Source organism: Homo sapiens, chromosome 1 (genome assembly GCF_000001405.40).
Source record: "Homo sapiens chromosome 1, GRCh38.p14 Primary Assembly".
NCBI lineage: Eukaryota > Metazoa > Chordata > Mammalia > Primates > Hominidae > Homo > Homo sapiens.
In genome coordinates this window covers 166839004-166856475 of record NC_000001.11, presented here as the reverse complement: position 1 = coordinate 166856475, position 17472 = coordinate 166839004, and the positions used below count along the sequence as shown (strand labels likewise).

The 17472-nt window shown below is 47.4% G+C and overlaps 1 protein-coding gene across 8 annotated transcripts, besides 2 other annotated features; it reads right to left on the bottom strand.

Moving 5' to 3' along the window:
* Positions 1 to 116: 116 nt before the first annotated feature.
* On the bottom strand, positions 117 to 17001 carry POGK (pogo transposable element derived with KRAB domain). Of its 8 annotated transcripts, XM_011509815.3 has the most exons (7): positions 16872 to 17001; positions 15388 to 15521; positions 9738 to 9864; positions 8884 to 8982; positions 6736 to 7538; positions 6053 to 6681; positions 117 to 3891 (listed from the first exon to the last, which is right to left on the bottom strand). In XM_011509815.3, exons 2-6 carry the CDS (start codon positions 15517 to 15519, stop codon positions 6067 to 6069), a joined length of 1776 nt encoding a protein of 591 aa, XP_011508117.1. In that variant the 5' UTR covers positions 15520 to 15521; positions 16872 to 17001; the 3' UTR covers positions 117 to 3891; positions 6053 to 6066. The 8 variants fall into 8 exon arrangements, with proteins under 8 accessions (XP_011508117.1, XP_005245427.1, NP_060012.3 ...); XM_005245370.5 differs by having other exon boundaries at positions 6053 to 7538; positions 16707 to 17001; NM_017542.5 differs by having other exon boundaries at positions 6053 to 7538.
* Positions 16476 to 16715: a silencer, noted in NCBI's record as "silent region_1512". NCBI's record gives its function as "represses an Ori minimal core promoter by ATAC-STARR-seq in GM12878 lymphoblastoid cells {active_cell/tissue: GM12878}" and the evidence as "EXISTENCE:reporter gene assay evidence [ECO:0000049][PMID:35858748]".
* Positions 16816 to 17245: a silencer, noted in NCBI's record as "silent region_1511". NCBI's record gives its function as "represses an Ori minimal core promoter by ATAC-STARR-seq in GM12878 lymphoblastoid cells {active_cell/tissue: GM12878}" and the evidence as "EXISTENCE:reporter gene assay evidence [ECO:0000049][PMID:35858748]".

Below are 17472 nucleotides of genomic sequence, written 5' to 3'. Positions count from 1 at the left end.
CCTTCTACAGAAATACAAAAATTGCCTGCTCTATGAGGGCTTGGCAGAGACTTCTCAAAATAATGTACTAGATGAGAAAGATTAAAAAGCAGATTCCAACTAAGGTATGCCATTTCTTTTTTTTTTTTTTTCTTTTCTTTTTGAGATAGGGTCTCACTCTGTCACCCCAGCTGGAGTGCTGTGGTGTGATCATGGCTCACTGCAGACTGGACCTCTGGGCTCAGGTGATTCTCCCATCGCAACCTCCTAAGTAGCTGGGACTACAGATTCACACCACCATGCCCGGCTAATTTAAAATTTTTTTTTTTTGTAAAGACACGGTTTTATCATGTTGCCCAGACTGGTAATGAACTCCTGAGCTCAAGCAGTCTGCCCACCTTGGCCTCCCAGAGTGTTTGTTAGGATTACAGGCCTGAACTACTGCACCTGGCCAGGTATGTAATTTCTTATGTATAGATTAAGACTTCTTAAAAAAAAATCAATAGCTTAGTTTCAGTTCTTGGCACAAGCCATTAGTTTTAGGTGAGAAACTACGTAAGAATTTTTAGGGCTTGGAAGAATTTAAACTGATACTCGAATATAGTTTTTTGGTTTGGACTACTCAATATACCTGGGCCTTAATGCTGCCTAGGGAATATGTGTGAAATTTCATAGTTCCATAGATGGAGAGGCAGCTAGGAGCCTTGACCGTGTCCTGCTGCCCACTGCAATGTCAGGTTCCATAGGCTGTATGGCTGTACATACAGCACAGAGGAAACTGCAAACTGGAAAACTTCTCACTACTCTCTAGGACCTGGCCTGAATTCCTAGTCACCTACCCACCTGGTGGGACCATAGAATGCTGGAAGACTGCCTTTGCCTCATGTATTTCAGGTCTACACTCTACTATCTGCTCTCCATGCCAATTTTCCTATGAAATCATTTTCTAAGGAGGGGAGATGATGGGGTAAAGTGCAGGGCAGTAAGGTAGAAACAGTAATACTTAGCATTTTCACAAGAGCCCCTGAAACATCTGAACTCTGTCCACCAAAGGCTGGTTCCATCTGTAACACCACTGCCAGCTGTGGGGACTCGAGTGCAATCGCTTCTCTAATTAGGTTAAGAAACAAATGCTTATTATCAAGCATCATGTAGAAAAATAATTATTTTAACGAGGGAAAAAGCTGTTGGAAACCATATAATTTCAGACTTAGAATAAAACTTATTTTTTCCTGCAGGAATTTATCACTGTGCAAAACCAGGTGTGATAAAGCTGGCTGTATTTTACCAGGCAGGTGGGAGGACTCGCTTAGCATGTTCTTTTGTTGTTCTGAATTAAAAAAAAAACATTTTAGGTTCAGAGGTACAAGTGTGCAGGTTTGTTATTTAGCACGTTCTTATCACCCACTTCTCTGATCAACCAAGGACAAACACTTTTCCTTTCCATTGCCTGAAGTGATGACCACAGGTAAATGCCGTGTCCTACCATGCCTTTGACTCATTCCAAAATGCCTCTGGGAGGAAGAGTAAGAGTAAGGAAGCTTAGTCTAGGGGTCAGACTTGGAGAGTGGCTCAGCATTTAATGCTGATGGGTTGAAAAGGAAAAATAACACTGCCAGATTATTCCTGGAGAATCAACTACTACTTTATGGGCACTGTAAATTGTCAGGACTAATTTTATTAAAAGTGCATAATTAAGACTTGCGGGTTCATCATACTTTCATTTAAAATTCAGATCCCTTTATGGGATTTCTTTCATGTGATTTTGGTAATGTACCACTGCTGAGAGCATACAAAACATGACTGAGGAAAAAAGCTATTTATGTCAAACTTGCCCCACTGCACACGTTCTTCCCTGTGTCTTCACAGATACCAATATTACTTACACTGCATCTCATGAACACTTTTTGACTGAAAGATGTAATATATTGGTACCAAACCGGATGGAGAATAAGGTGTAGCCAATACCTTGAATGTAACTTTTCACAATGCTAATAGGTAAAGAAATAAAATCACCATAGCCTATTGTCTTTATTATCAAAGTTTATTGTTGGGGTCAGTTCCTATCTACTAGGGAGTACAACTATATCTCAATATGTGCTATAGTAATTCTAGGGTAACAGCCATTCTGCAAAATAGTTGTACTGGGGCTCTGTTAGGCATAGATCATAATTAAGTCAGTGGAAGAATGAGCCCAGAGAAACCCTGGCAGCAGAGCCGTTACTCTAGGAAAGTTCCAGTGCTATGCAACCTGTAAGGCATCATCGCTCAGCTGATGATGAGACTCACAGAGGTGTTGGTGGAGCGAAACAGGAGTTGAACCCATTTTCTACTCTTCTTGGCAGGGTAACTATGGCTCCAAGGAAGGAACCCAAAATTAGGTCTTGTAAAATCTTTTAAGCTCCCAAAGCAAGAGAAATAAGACATGAAGAAAGAGCCAGTAACTAGGACAGATGAAAAATTAGGTGGAATTGGAGGGAATGGAAACTTCTGGAATGCAAAGTAGCTGGGTTTAGACGCCATTTGAGATGACCAAGAATACAGTACAGGTAAAAGCAAATGGGGCAACAATTCAAATATTGAGTTGTTCAAATACTAGAGGTTAAGTAAAATTTCCCCCCTTGGGGGAAAACTGGTTGAAAAGGATCAGAAAGGTGAATCAGTAACAGGACAATGAGTACCTGAGTAGAAATAGGTGTTTCAAGATGCCAAGAACAGTTTAAATATACAGGTGAGCTGAGTCTACAAGAAGGAAAAGTGGTTATGGCAGCCTGTTTCCAGATCTGATCATTGGAATGACATTTCTAGCAATGGCTTTGTCTGTGAGGTCCTGGCATATTTTGTGTAGCACAGATCCCTTTAAAGGAATGTTTTCGTAACACTCAAACTTATGTGGGAATGCAAATTACTATAGTGTAAAAATTCAATGACTTCCCACCTATTCCTGCAGGGCAGGAGATCAGAAGTCTTAAAACAGCTGTGGCTAAAAGCCCAAGCCCTCCCACTGCCCCGTGATAAAAATATTAAAGAAATTAACAAAACAAGCATCAGATGAGTCAATGGGCCTTGTACCATGTAGACAACAGATAATTTATAGCGACTTCTTCTGCAGGCAGCCTGAGAAACAAGAGCTTGCATACGAAATCCTGCCCTATCATTAAATATAATAATGAAAAAAACAGGGCCATTAAATGAGACCCTAAAAAAGTCTAGCTGCCAATCAGGTTGGGAAGATAAATAAAACAGCATAGTTTATTTTAACCTATATCTTCCACACTAACCTAGTTTGTCTATAGAAAAGCCATCTGCTGGCACCAGGCCAGTATGTCTTAATTTTCTTGTTATTCTAAGTATCTCATTTTTCCAAAAGAGGAAATGTGTAAGTAGCAGGTGTACATAGGTGACACATTTCTACAAAGCCTTCTCTGTAGTCTTGACCTGTGTGGGGACAGGGTCTACTTTTGGAAGCATTTTCAAAGGCAGAATAAAACTTTACTTGAGGTTTTCTCCATAGAAGGACACCAGAGTTGTGCCCATATGATGAGTCCCTCGTTGGTGTTGAATAAATTGTCTTTTCTCCAGGAAATAACCTTTGTTCTTTCATATTTACAGGTTTCTTTTGATGGACAGATGGAGTAATCTCCAAAACAAGAAATGGGGCAGAAGCAGTTTCTTTTCTGATCATGTCTCTGATGAAATGATAGGTCCTAGACTTTTCTGATACCTTGTATGGTGTGGGGAGGGGCTGGGCTGTGTCCTGGGATGGATGTACAGGCTGCTGTCTGGACCGGGGCTGTTCAGAGCCCCGTGGCCTTTTCCTGATGTTCCCTGCGCATCCAGCGCATCCACACTTTCAGGAATAATCATCTTGAGGAATTTCATCCCCAGCTGTTTAAATCAGAGTTCCATTTGCTGGAAAACAGAGAGAACCTAAATGAATTAACCCTTGGCTTTTTGGTATAACTTTTAACAAACATAATAATTCCATCATTCAGATTTCCAAATAGAGGCCAAGACGTAGTTTTATGCCCACTTGGTCTCCCAAATCTCTTGTTCACTGTGAATCTGTCTACTCCCATCACTTCCTCAGGAGCTGCAGAGAGAATTGTGGCAGACTAGAAGAGCAAAAGCTCATGACCAATATTACAGGCCAACATTCATAAATGCAACTTAGCATAGCTTTTTCTCCTTTCCTCTTCTGGAAGTTTTTAATCATGTCCCTGAGGTGGTAAGGAGCTTAGGAAATTAAAAGTGCACAAAAATGTTATCTAACAAGGAGAGGGAAAAGCAAAAGGTAAATGAAGAAAAGATGGAAACTCAATGTAATTCAGTTTGATATCCAATGCAGGCAATATAAGGGTCAGCAGAAAAGGGAGGCTGGATTCATGGGGTTTCTCAAAGCAAGGAGGACCCAAGGGGGAAAAAAAAGCAATTTTGGTGATTTTGAATGTAATAGTAAGAACTTCTTGCTCCATTGTAATTCCAGGGATCCCAGAATTACAATGGGATTCAGCAATATGAGTACAATTTAATTTGGAAGCAAGGCAGGAGACATAAGTCACTCTTTGAAACACAGATGGACTTATATAGCTGAAGTGGGTAAAATAAGGCTCCCATTAGCATTTCATTTGGAGAAAAAAGCAAGGAAGATGGAAATACCTAATTATACTTTAAAAGAAAGAAAAAGAATGTGTGAAGATGGTTGACGGTTTCAGGTCCTCTGTAAAAAAGGTGGCTTCTTCCTTCATATAAAACACTGTCTGGAGGATCAATTTAATTTATAATTAGGGAGATGAGAACGAACAGGTAAATGAATTGTTTGTTCTTTGTGGGTGTCCCCCCTGCTGTACATGCTCATCCTCCTCCTCTCTGGAGGTGTAGGTGGGTGGGGTCATTTCACTAGTGTTGTCTCAGTTAGGCCTCCATTCCTACTTTCCTTTGAAAGCTGTTCTTCTTGTGTACTCAACCCAGAAAATTCCAGGCCTATTGTCCTCAGCCCTCACTAGAGTCCTAGATACGCACCGTTTTATTTTCTTTTTTTGGTGTAAAGATTCAGTTAAAAAATATCTTCCTTCAGACATCTGCTGACTACAGGAAATTATTGTCATAGCCCATGTGAAGGTCATAATGAGACTAAGATGACGTTTTAAAACTCCTGAACTCTGTAGGGAAAAGCAAGTAGAAGCTATTATTCTTACTCGCTGGTAACATACTGTAGATAGCTCCAGGACTGAGACCCGAGGCCCGGAGGACACACTTAGTGTTCTCCCTATGTCACAGTCCTACAGGCCAGCAAAAGTGAGTACAACTGTCCCAGCATGTCAGTTACACATACTGGCCCTAAATGTTCAGCATAATTTAAAAGGGAAAGAAAAAAGTTGGCTTTTCAGACAAAATTTTGTGTGAACTGAACAACGTCAGACTATGCTTCTTTGGGTCCAAATAATTTTAACTTTACAGCTCTCAGATGTTCTGGCAGCTCATTCTTTGTTCATTTCACCTATTATACAAGTGTTTCTGGGTCCAAGCCACAGAGCAAAATAGACACAAATAAATCAAATAATAAATGTTTCATATAAAGGAGAAAATGCTAATGGTCTGTTATCTATACCAGCAGTCCCCAACTTTTCTGGCACCAGGGACTGGTTTCATGGAAGACAATTTTTGCAGGGACCCAGGAAGTGCGGGGTAGTGGGTGGTAGGATGGCTTTGGGATGAAACTGTTCCGCCTCAGATCCTCAGGCATTGAGGAGCCTGCAACCTAGATCCCTCACATGTGCAGTTCACAACAGGGTTTGTGCTCCTATGAGAATCTAATGCCGCTGCTGTGACAGCGGGCGGAGCTCAGGTGGTAATGCTTGCTCACCTGCCGCTCACCTCCTGCTGTGCAGCCCAGTTCCTGACAGGCCATGGACCAGTATGGTCCGTGACCTGGGGGTTGGGGACCCCTGATCTACACTACTGCACTGTAGGCTCTAAGGGAACTTAAAAACAGAAAAATAATGGAGAGAAGGTGTTTGTAGAACACAGACATGTCAGCAAAGGCACTGAGTATCTACTCCTGAGTGGTTACCTTTCCCTTTCCCTTCAGTTGCTCTCAGCCATGCTTTCGGTGTCACAATCTTTTGGTGGTTCTCCTCCTCCTGGCAACTCACTCTCGATTTCCCACAGGACATCGTCTTCCTCCTCCAAGTTGCTGGAGATATGGCACTTCTTGAACCCTTGGACGATGGACTCACTTGAGATGCTATTCCACGCGACCATGACCCACTCCAGAAAGAGGCCCAGGGGTGGCTTCTTAGCATTCCCGGTTGGGCTCAGCGCCAGGTTCCCAGCCAGAAGCCAGTTGGAGTACTGGGCCCGCACACTGTCATTCAGTGGCTTGTAGACCACGACATCCAGCACCTGAAGCTGTGAGGTCAGACCCCCTGGGATGATCACCATGTCAGTGTTCATGCTTTCCATGGAGTTCTTCACGGAATCTGTGGCATGGCCCCGGAAGCCATTCAAGATCAGCATCCCTCGCTGCTTGGGCACTGCTCCTGTCCTCCGTCTCCACACCACTTCCAACCAGTCCTGCATCAAGTCTTCAGTCATCCACCCATACCGGTGGCAGCGAATTTCCATCCCACTGGGAAACTTCCCCGGGGGGATATATGTTCCCCTCAAAATGATGTACGGTGGTAACTTCCTCCCATCAGCCAAGACACCAAGCATTGCTGTGATTTTCAGTTTTTCCCTGCCTGGTGTCTTGACCAAGACAGGCTTTTCGCCCTGGTTATCAACAGTTACCCGTGATGGCACCTCTAAACAAATGGGCGTCTCATCTGCATTCCCCATCTGAGCTACCTCATAGTCATGCGCCCTGCGCAGAGCCAGGACACTGCGCTGGTAAGTGACGAGTTTCTCAGTCAGGTCTTCCGGCAGGTGCTGGGGCACGGGCACTTTATGCCTCAGAGACAGGTCATACCTTCTCATCATTCTTCGACACCAACCCAAGCTTGCCTTGAACCCTTTCTCTGGAATGTTCATTTCCTGGGCGATTTCGAGAGCTTTCAGCTGCATCGCCTCCCGGGTGATGGGGTCCCCTTTGGCCTGCATGTATCTGACATATTCGGCCACACGCTGGTCCACCAGAGCAAACCTCCCATTCTTGGGGCCTCGGAATGCCCGCCGCATGGCGTGGGCGTTTTGAAGCTGTGGCTTCACTTTGCGCCAGTCTCGAACGTTTTTTTCCAATACTCCAAACTGCTTGGCAGCCTGGCAGTTGTTGGTACTCTCAGCATATTCCACTACCATCAGCTTGAACCCTGCGTCGTAACTGCGGCGCATGCCCCGGCTGAACTGAAACTTCCCAGCTATGTCATCAGCCGAGAGGTCATACCCTGGGAAGCCCATGGCCATGTAGAAGGGGTACCCCTCACTCCACTCGGGCAGCTCTGTGATATCCCGAGGCAGACGGAGGCCAAAGCTGTCAAAGTGCTGAGGCTGAGGAAACTGGGAGGTAGCATTCATTGGGTTTGGCCAGTCTGGAGGCTTTACGTCAGATTCTTCATTTTCTGGGAGACAAATAGTGAGGGGCAAAAATAATGCCAGTAAGTAAAATGGCTTATACCCTGATTTTTGGGGGTTGAAATGCTAAGAATACCTTAATCTGAAGTTCACCAAAAGTAGTAACTTTAATAACAGGTAACATTGCCTAAGTCCTTTTCCATATGCCAATTTATGTGGACTACCCACACCTAGTTCTCTTAATAGAGTAACTCTAAGTATCACTGTTCCTTCTTTGCAGATGAAGAAGGGGAGGCTACAGAGGTTACATAATGCACCAAGGTAGCCAAGCCAGAAAGTGGCAGAGCTGGGAACTCAACAGAGGAACCAAGCTTGGACCAAATAATTTGGGGGCCATGTTTGCATCAAAATACTTTTTATGTGAATGAGAAGCCAAATGTTAACCATACTACCATATAATATTACAGAGATGCATCATGGCCTGAATCATATCCCTTTAGAACCAAGAAAACCTACAGCAAAAACCACACTTAGCAAAGTTAAGCTTATAAGGCAGAAAATTAGTTCTTGCACATTAATGGTGCAACCAGGTTTCACTTTATATTTAGAAGGTGGTCACAGAAGTTGAATATGATTTGGGGAAATTACCCTATCTCACCCAAACTAAAATGTCATCAGTTGTAGGATGCATCATTATGTGCCATTAAGAAAGAAAACACTACTAATTAAGCTATGACATGCCACTGATTTTAAGAGGCATTCTCAATTTCAGAAACAGTAAAGCAATGGGAGAAAAACATGTCTCAGAGTCAGTGAAATATGGCATTTTAAACTCTTACTTCCGGAGAAAAGATAAAACTATTTTGGCCGTCTGGAGGCAATGCTATATTTATTCAACTGTGGCCTCAATAACCATTTTTCTTGACAAAGGACTAGGTACTTCTTAGATACATTTGCTCAAATGTATGCTATGATTGCTATTGCTTTTTCTATCCAGTATGAGATGGACAGGGAGCCAGGTAACTCAGGAAGTGTGCTTCCTCTCACTATTCTTAGTTTGCAGAGGCACATGGTACGCCACTGAGGGAGCCCTGTTCAGCCAGAAGGTGCACTAGACCAAATGCTGCACAAGCCTCATTTTGCTTCATCCACAAACAAGGTCATACATCAAGTCTTGTTACTCAGAGCTGATAGAGGAAGAATGGAAGCTCTGAGGTAAAAGCAGTTGCCTGTCACACACTGTCACACATTTAGCACTGCAAAGAGGGAGATTTCAAAACTCCAAAACCCATAATCCTTCTACCTCTTAAATACCCCGTGGAATGTACACTGAAAATCCCACTCCACAATGTTCCCAGCTGGATGGACGCTGAACTGCTTTACTTGTAGTACCTGCAGAGGTGCCTCCTTGGAGCTGCCACTCGTCAGAATTCTGAGACTCCTCCTCCCCTTCCAAACGGGTGATCATGTCTGGCTTAGGGAATGGGAATTCTGTTTATAGGAAATAAAATAGGTAACAGCTGTGTGTTACTGTCCTGGAGCACTACCAAAATAAGTACTTCAAAATACTTAAGAGCCACTCTCCCCTTCTTTGTGAAAAACAAGGGGAAAAAGGCTCAGGGATACTTAAAGAAAAAAGATAATGGAAAATAGGTCTGTCTAAAGGAATGGGTAGATCTCTCCTAATGAGGGATGGTATTGGCACCAACAATAAAAGAACTGCATTTAGCAGGGAGAAGGGTGAATGCAGCTGCTGATCCAATTAACATTTTGGTACCTGTATAAGCAAACTGGGAAATCTCTTCAAATGATTACATTCTGCTGATAAGATGTGTGATATCAATTTGGGGTGGAAGTTGGGGAGAGGAGCAAACAGTCTTTGGGAGGGTATGTCCCCAAACTTCTGAGGCTGACAGGGTAACATTAACGCCTGCCTTCTCTCGTAAGGAACAGTGAGGCACAGGCCCAGATCCATGGTGACATTTCTAAGGTTACATGGTTTTTATCCTTAAATGTGAATGCCTGGGTTGAATGGGGGCAGTTCTGAGGCAGCACGGATTGCCGAGTAGGGTGACACAATATTGATATACTGCCCAAATCAAAAATTGGAATAAATGGGCACAGACATTGAGGAGGCAGAGTCTAAGTTCAGGAGAGAGGGACATTGGATATACCAGAGAAGAGAGGCATGGAAACAATTCTCTGGGCTCAGAGCTTCCAGGAGACAAAGGAAAACACAGCTTTACCCAGGGACAGGACAGTTTCATAATTCATCCTCATGACTTCCCGGTAGAGGGCCTTTTGTTGCTCCGTCAAAACTTCCCATTCCTCATCGGAAAAATATATGGCCACCTCATCAAATAGGGCCGGTACCTGGAAGAGTGAACAGCCCTTTCACAATGACAAACAGGCATATGCAGACAGACTTTCAGAGCGGACAGGACCTTACAGACAGCCCAGCACAGCCTGTCCTCTCACAGGTCAGGTGAGGGACCCTGACCCAGGGGAAAACGGACTGTCCACATTCATACAGCTGCTGGAAGCCAACAAGGGCAAGAGCACAGTCCTTCTGTGCCCACCACAGCAGCTGCCACCCTCAGTTCAGATAAGGTAAGCAGCACTTTGAGAAGAAAACTAACTCCCTACCATGATCACCGGTTGGAGGACATGGGACATCGCACCCTCATGCACTGTGGTGAGAGCTGCTCACGGCTCACCTCTGACCCAAGACTTAAGCCACCCACACCCAGACAAAGTGTCCCACCAACACAAGCACCCCCAATTCCCTCCCACCCCAGAAAAAGACCCTCGGCCCCGGGCGGGGTGAGTTGGGTTTGTAAATCTGAATAGGATCACTGCCCTCCGTGGGATCTTTGTGGGTTTCCAGGGCACTGCATTTCCAAGGGTACTAACCAAAGTGTTAGACTTGGAACCCACAGCTGCCCAGGGAGGAGCCACTGAGAGAAGGGGCCCTATTTGGCCTTTCCAATCCACAAGAGCATGAAGAGGAAGAAAGAAGGGCTAATTACAGCTTAATATATGTAATGAGATGCCAGAGCAAACTCATTCACTTTGATCCTGGACCAGGTAGGCAGAAAGCCCAAAGGACTGCATCCCTCCCCTGTTCCTCTGCTTCCTGGCCCAGCACCAGGGGGCTCCTCAGTAGCCCAAGGCAGCCAAGCCACCCAAACCAACCTCCTCTTTTTGTTTTTAACTGTATTTCTTATTACAGTCATTAAAAATCCTACTCCAAAGCTCATCCTATTTAGTGATAAGAAGGCACTGGATGGCTTGTTTCAGGCTGGTTATTTTGTATTCTTGCCTTCAAAGCTATTTCCCAAAGCTGTATCTTGGGTCTGGGTGATTATGATACTGTTTTTCCTTAGCTTAGAAAATTAGTGTCCATATGCTATATAGCCTGCAGCCACTTCAGGGGTCAGGCCAACAGTCACTTACATACATTGGCCTTTCCTCCCTGACCCAAGGAAGCCCCCTTGTTCTCTCCCCACCTCCACAGCACCTCATACATAGGAAGCACGTACTAGGAAAGGGCCTGTAACTGCTTCATTTATTCCCTGCAATGGGCCTGTGGAGGAGTAGATACGCCTATTTTTTTTTTTTTTTTTTGAGATGGAGTCTTGCTCTGTTGCCCAGGCTGGAGTGCAGTGGCACGATCTTGGCTCACTGCAACCTCTGCCTCCTGAGTTCAAGCCATTCTCCTGCCTCAGCCTCCCTAGTAGCTGGGATTAGAGGCACAAGCCACCATGCCCCTACTTAATCAAGGAGAATATGGGCTTGGAGAGGTCTCATTTCCAGGCTAATGTCATAGCCAATAAATGGTGGGGTTGCGTTTTGGGGCCACCACCGCCTGACCCCAAGGATCCAGCAATACCGAGCACAGCTGCCTCCCTGATGACTAACCCTCAACTCTCCCCAGCTCTGTGCTCCACTTGTACTCAGCTGTGTGCAGTTCCCTGAACAACCATTCCCCAACGCCCCCACACCTTGGCCCATATTCTCCCCTGGCCTTGGAGGGCCTCCCCTTTCTTGGTCTGGCTGACACCCACCCATCTTCCAGGACTCAGCCCAAAATCCCTGCTCCCGAGGAAGCCCACTCTGTGCCACGCTGTGAGCACACCCACATGTCCCTGAAATGTCCTGGGCTCCACACTCCCGGGGCACTCATCACACTGCAGAATTCTTTTGGTTGACTTGTCTGCTCCCTCCACTAGAATCTGAGCTTGTTGAAAGCAGGACCTGTACTTACTCCTTTTTGCTTCCCTAAGCCGAGGACACTTCCTGTAGCTAGTAGTCACTGAAAAATGTGCTTTTGAATATACGATCTAGGCAAATCTCTGGATTTCCCTTCTCTTGTTCTACTTGGAACTGTTTCAAAGAATCATTAAATTTTATCTGTCATAAAACCAAACCTACTCTTTGGAGTAAGAATGGACAAACATCCCTAAGTGTGAAATATGAGGAGGTAAAATGGATTCGTCTTCAGGCTTTCCTCAGACTTCCTCACCCTGGAAAGCCAGTCAGCCCAGGAATTTTCCACCCTACTCCTTTCCCAATTCCCAGGCTTTTAAAGAACTGTCTCTTTGGCCTTTTTTTCTCCCTGGGAAGTTCCAGATCTAGGTCATACCTATTTATAGTCCCTTTCCCTTTGCTGATAAAATGGGAACAGGACTGTCTATGCCTGTCATTTCAGAGGGGCCATCAATACTCTTAGGGGGGGTAACATATTCTAGGCCTGGTAAAAACATCAGGTACCAGGAGCCCTGAAGCTGCAGGAAGAAAGCTGGGGGCTGGTGCAGGATTCATCTCTTCCTATTAATGACTGAGCCACGGAGGATCTTCAAACAAGCCCACATTATGCTCCAGAGGCACAGTGTAGTGGCTTAGACATTCTCCTCACAGCAAGCCTCTGTGAGAATGGAGCGATCCTTCAGCCAGGCCCTGCTGCGCAGGCCTCCCCTCGCTCCACAGAGGCCTTTTATCTGGCTCAACATAGCAGAAGGTAAACAGGGCCGGCCCCGGGCAAAACTGAGAAGTCAGGCAGTCTGTGTACCACCTCCAGACACCCCTCCTTGGCCTTGCAGGTAGGGACCTTCAGTCCCTGCCCTCCTCCCTTTCCTCAGAAGATCAAGGGCTCACTGGATAAGTGTTCTTCCTCTAGCTTGTGTGCACTGCCTTGCTCTGCTCAGGAAGTTGGCATTCCAATGCTATCTCAAAGGGTAAATGTTGTAAAGTGCTTACACCTTGCACAGCCTCGCTAAAGCCTTGCAGCCACCCAGCAAAGACGCAGGGATCTCGGGGGAAGGGGTTGGGGTAGTTTGTACTGATCCACTGATGGAGTGCCTGCTATGGGCCAAGCACTGTATAGGACACTCAATCATATAAATATATTCTCTCACTGAATCCGCTAAACTAGGGACATGGGGATCACTACCTCACTTTTATGGGTAAGGAAACAGAGTGGTTAAGTAACTTGTCCAAGGTCACAGAGCTAGAAAGTCTGATGCCAAAGCTTTGCTTTCTTAGCAGGCCACTCAGGCCTTAGCATGGTGGCTGTAGAGAGCCTGAGGCCTCCCTTAGAAAGATGGGCTAAGGCCTCATTCCACAGAGCTAAGGAGAAAGCTCAAACTCGCTGGCGTAGCACTGCATGTCCTCCTGGCTGGCTCTGGCCCCTGGCCTGGCCTCCTATACCTGATCCCCTTCCACTCCCTGCCATGAGTTTCAGGTTCCAGCTGCAGGAGCTGCTCCTAACTCTGCACCCAAGCTCCTCTCCTCAGTGCTTTTGCCTGTGCTGTCCTCTTGCCTGGAATGCAACCCCCTTCCCTTCCCTTGGCTGATTCCATAATGACTAAGACTCAGTTCAAAGCACATTTTTTATTTTTTCTACTTAAAATTGTATTTCTATTTCAATTCTATGGAATTTTATCCTAATATATTATCATAGTTCTTATGCTTGAAAAGCTTTCACTGATCACCCTAACATAATTCTCTATAACCAAAATACATATTTTAAAAACAGATTCTTTTCTTCTAATGCTCTAGAGCAGGGTTTCTCAACCTCAGCACAACTGACATTTTGGGCCAGTTACCTCTTTGTTGTGTGTGTATGTGTGTGTGTGTGTGGTGGTGGGGGGGCATCCTGTGCACTGTAGATATCTAGCAGCTCCCCTGGCTTCTATCCACTAGATGCCAGGAGGATCTCCCAGTCCCCAACGCACCCCCACCAAGTCAGACCAACAAAAGTGTTTCCAGATATTGCCAAATATCCAGGGGTGGGGAAAGGGGGTAGTGTTTCTAGATGTTGCCAAATGTCCAGGGGTGGGGGCAAAATTGCTCACTGCTCAAGATTAGGCCTTGTCCAGGAAGCCCCGGAGTTCTCAGCCTGAATGAGGCATCCCCTCATCTTGGCTCCTGGTGCATCCTTGCAGACTTCCACCACTGCACTCTGCACACTGTGCTTACTATTACTTATGTTTACTTTCCTGCCTTGCTCACAAGACTGGAAATTCCATCAGGAAAAGAGTCTCTCTTTACGCCCAGCACTGTGCTTGGTAACTGTGGATGGATGGCTGATTGCCTGGAGGCCACAAATGCCCAATCCCCAGCACCACCAGCTGCTGGACTCCCTCCTCCAGCCCTTCTGGTTACTTCCTTCTTTTCCCACCTAAGCATGGTTGGTCTTCATCTTGCTCCTTCCTCACTGTCCCAACATTCACTTTCATTGCACCTGTTCTCCAAGGCTCTCCATTTAGATGTTCTGGGTTGACCAATCTAGCCTCAAAGCCCTGAGTTTTGACTGCCTTGAGTTCTTGTTCCAGGCTAAATAGACCTGACGCCTGCTTGGATCAGAATTGGGAAGAAGGATGTGGTGGGCAAAGAACACTGATGAGACAAAGGCAGCGCGGTGTCCACAGCTAGACTGGCAAACTGAGAGCCTGTGGTTGCACTGTTTTTTTTTTTTTTAAATTAAGGTATAGCATACATATGGTAAAATGCATTACTTTTAAGGGTGCAGCTCAGGAGACCTGTTTTGAAGAACAAATGTCAGTGTTCATGTGTAACCTTAGGGCAAGGCAGATAATCTTTCTGCATCCCAGTTCTCTCCTCTGGTAGGGAACAATTTAGAAGTACCATGCTTGTATGGATAGGGGCTCTTCATGGAAGCAAAGGATACTATGTATACTGACAATGTTTATACACAACGGAAAATAAGCAGAGAAAAGGAATGTCAATTTGTTGCTTATTTAAAATGTTTACTATTCATGCCTAATTACCACGAAGTCCAGTAACTACGGTGAATAACTATCTGTAACTATAAGTATCTACTGCATTTGCATTTGTATAAACCGACCTCTATCATACTATTCTGCGTGTATACCCTGAATCTCTGTATTCCCTGCTGCCCACCATTTCTATCCAGGTCAGCTGGACAGGCAGCTCTCCTGTGTCAACTGTGGTAAGAGGTGCTCACACAGAACCAACTAGCCTAACCTCTCATGTCAACCCAATGACTCGAGTCTTATTTAAAATGGTTCCCTTCAACCAGCAGTAAGTCAACAAACATTTACTTGGTGCCTACAATGTGCCTGGCATCAAACGCAGTGCAGGATAAGTGGGTGAACGAGAGAGACAAGGTCCTGGCTTCTAGGACTTCCAATTGAACGATGACAAGCTACATGGCTGAGGGACTGTTTCCATAACACCTCCTCCATTCTTTGCACTGCCTTTTAAAGCCACAGAGCTGTTTTCTCAGGAATGCAAACACACCGGGCTGGGCTATTTTTACTTCCCACGTCTGTCTGAGGAGGAGACTTAAAGCAAGCTGGGCTCTCAGGCCTGCATCTGCTGGCTGTGTGGACTCCACACCTTCTTACTTACCCATCCGCCCTCAGAGCAGATTCGTACTTTCTGCATGTCTGCCGGGCCGTCCTCTAGTTCCCGGCTCTGAATCTCTTCTTCCTCTTCCTCTTCTTTCAGGCTCAAATTGAGAGGGTAGGCTGTGGACTCCATCTCTGCAAGCAAGATTCAGGTTCAGAAAAACCAGGTGTCACTGTGACCTCCCCAAAGCCTATGATGGGGGAGGCTGAGCCACATACAAACCTCTTTAGCCCCAAGCACTGTTCCCGCTGGAGGGAAGTAAGGAAACAAGAGTCGGCCAGGAAGCTACAGGGTGACATGTTTAATTATGATAAGAGAGGCTGTGGGTAGATAACGTATCTGGCTGCCTTCAAATATTTAAAAAGCTATCTGGGGAAGAGAACCCAGACTGGTTTGTAGAGACTGGACGGCAGAACAGAGGCCGGCCAGTGGATAAATACTCCTGGAAAAGGTTTTAAGCAGTGAGAAAGGCAGTACTTTCTCACAGCCAGTGCCACCCAAACAGGAATCAGAGGCAGGGGAAAGGTGCTGATTTCCTATCAGTGAAGGTGTCTGAACACAGATTGGACACTTACTCAACTGGAATGGGTGCTAGAAGCCAGTTAAGCATGGGCGGAGCGGTTGGCTCAGTAGGCCCATTGCCTGGATTTTCCAAATTCAAAGGTTCTGTCCACGAGCTGGTTCAGAAAATAGGGTCATTCTACCTTAAGGGACTTTGCAAACGCAGGAGTCAGTGAAACATAGTGAGGGTTATGCCTGGATACCCAAAAAGGTGCAGAAATCGGCTGGGGCCCACCCCGACAGGGAAATAACCCATTGCCTCTGGGCTGCAAATTCTCTATTCGCTGACTCTTGGCCAGTACAAAGGGCCGCACTCCTGCCCTCTATGGGCGCGGGCAATTCCTAGGTGTGGAGTGCGGATGCATCTTGAGGGCTGCATCGGGGAACCTCCAAAGAAAAGATCCCTCTGGAGTTCAAAGTCGGTTCCTTCGATATTTCCAAAAAAGATAGGCGAACGCGGCATGGATGGGTCTAGGCTTCAGATGCCTGCAGCTGGGGCCCGAACTTGGCGGCGGTCTCCCTGCCGGCTCCGGGGCAGAGGTGGGAGGGGCCGCCTCCCCGCGCTAAGGTGCCGCAACCAGGGCCGCCGCCCGCCCTGCCCCGCCTGCGCCACCGCCGCCGCGCCCCCGGGCGCGTTCGGATTTCTCCAGCCATCTTGCCCCATTTCCCTTTCTCCGCGGAACCGCGCCGGGAGCGCTTCCGCTGCCCCCTCCGCCCGGCCCGCCTCCCCACCTGGCCCCCTCCCGGCCCCAGCGCACCTGCCGGGCGGCGAGAGCCGGCGCCGCCCGCCTCCCCGGCGGGCCCGCAACAAAGGCGGCGGCGGCGGCGGCGCAGCCTCGGCGCCCCCGCCTCTGCCGCGGCCCAGCCGCCCGGGACCCGGGGGAGGGGCCGCGCCGCCGCCGCCCCCGCCCGCGCGCACTCACCGCCGGGCCCAGCGGCCAGGGCGCGGGGTGGGGACGCGAGGGCTCCGGCCCGGCTGTCACAGCGCCATCCTTTCCGCCTCTCCGTCCTCCCGTGCGCGCGGCCCCTCGGGAGGGAGCGGGGAGGACACGTGGTGGGAGGAGGGAGGGTCCGGCCCGGAGCTGAGGGTGTTGGGAGGCGAGGGGAGGAGCGCGGCTGATGTCAGCAGGCCTCGGCGGCGCCGGGGGACGGCGCCCGCGCGAGCTCCGGGGCCCTCCTCTAGGCGCGGCTTCCGGCCGGTCCGGGCAGTCCCTGGCGGGCCTGGGTAGCCGTGCCCTCGGCCTTCCCCGCCCCGCCCGATGCAGGCCGCTTCCAGTGCTGCGTGTGACCTCGGCGTGGACGAGGCAGGAAGAGCCCAGATTGATTTTAACCGAGCGTAGCGTGGGCGCACAGTTCCATGTGCTCATTTGCAGTCACCAGCGGGTTGCACTTGCTTGGACGAGCTCTCCAGGCGTTCTCGCCGTGCTTCAGGCAATGAAAGGCTAGACCGGCAAGAGCGTGTAGGGGCATGAGGAGGGGTCTTTGGGGAAGAGTATTCGTATTCTGGCAGCGGGCTCCTGTCCA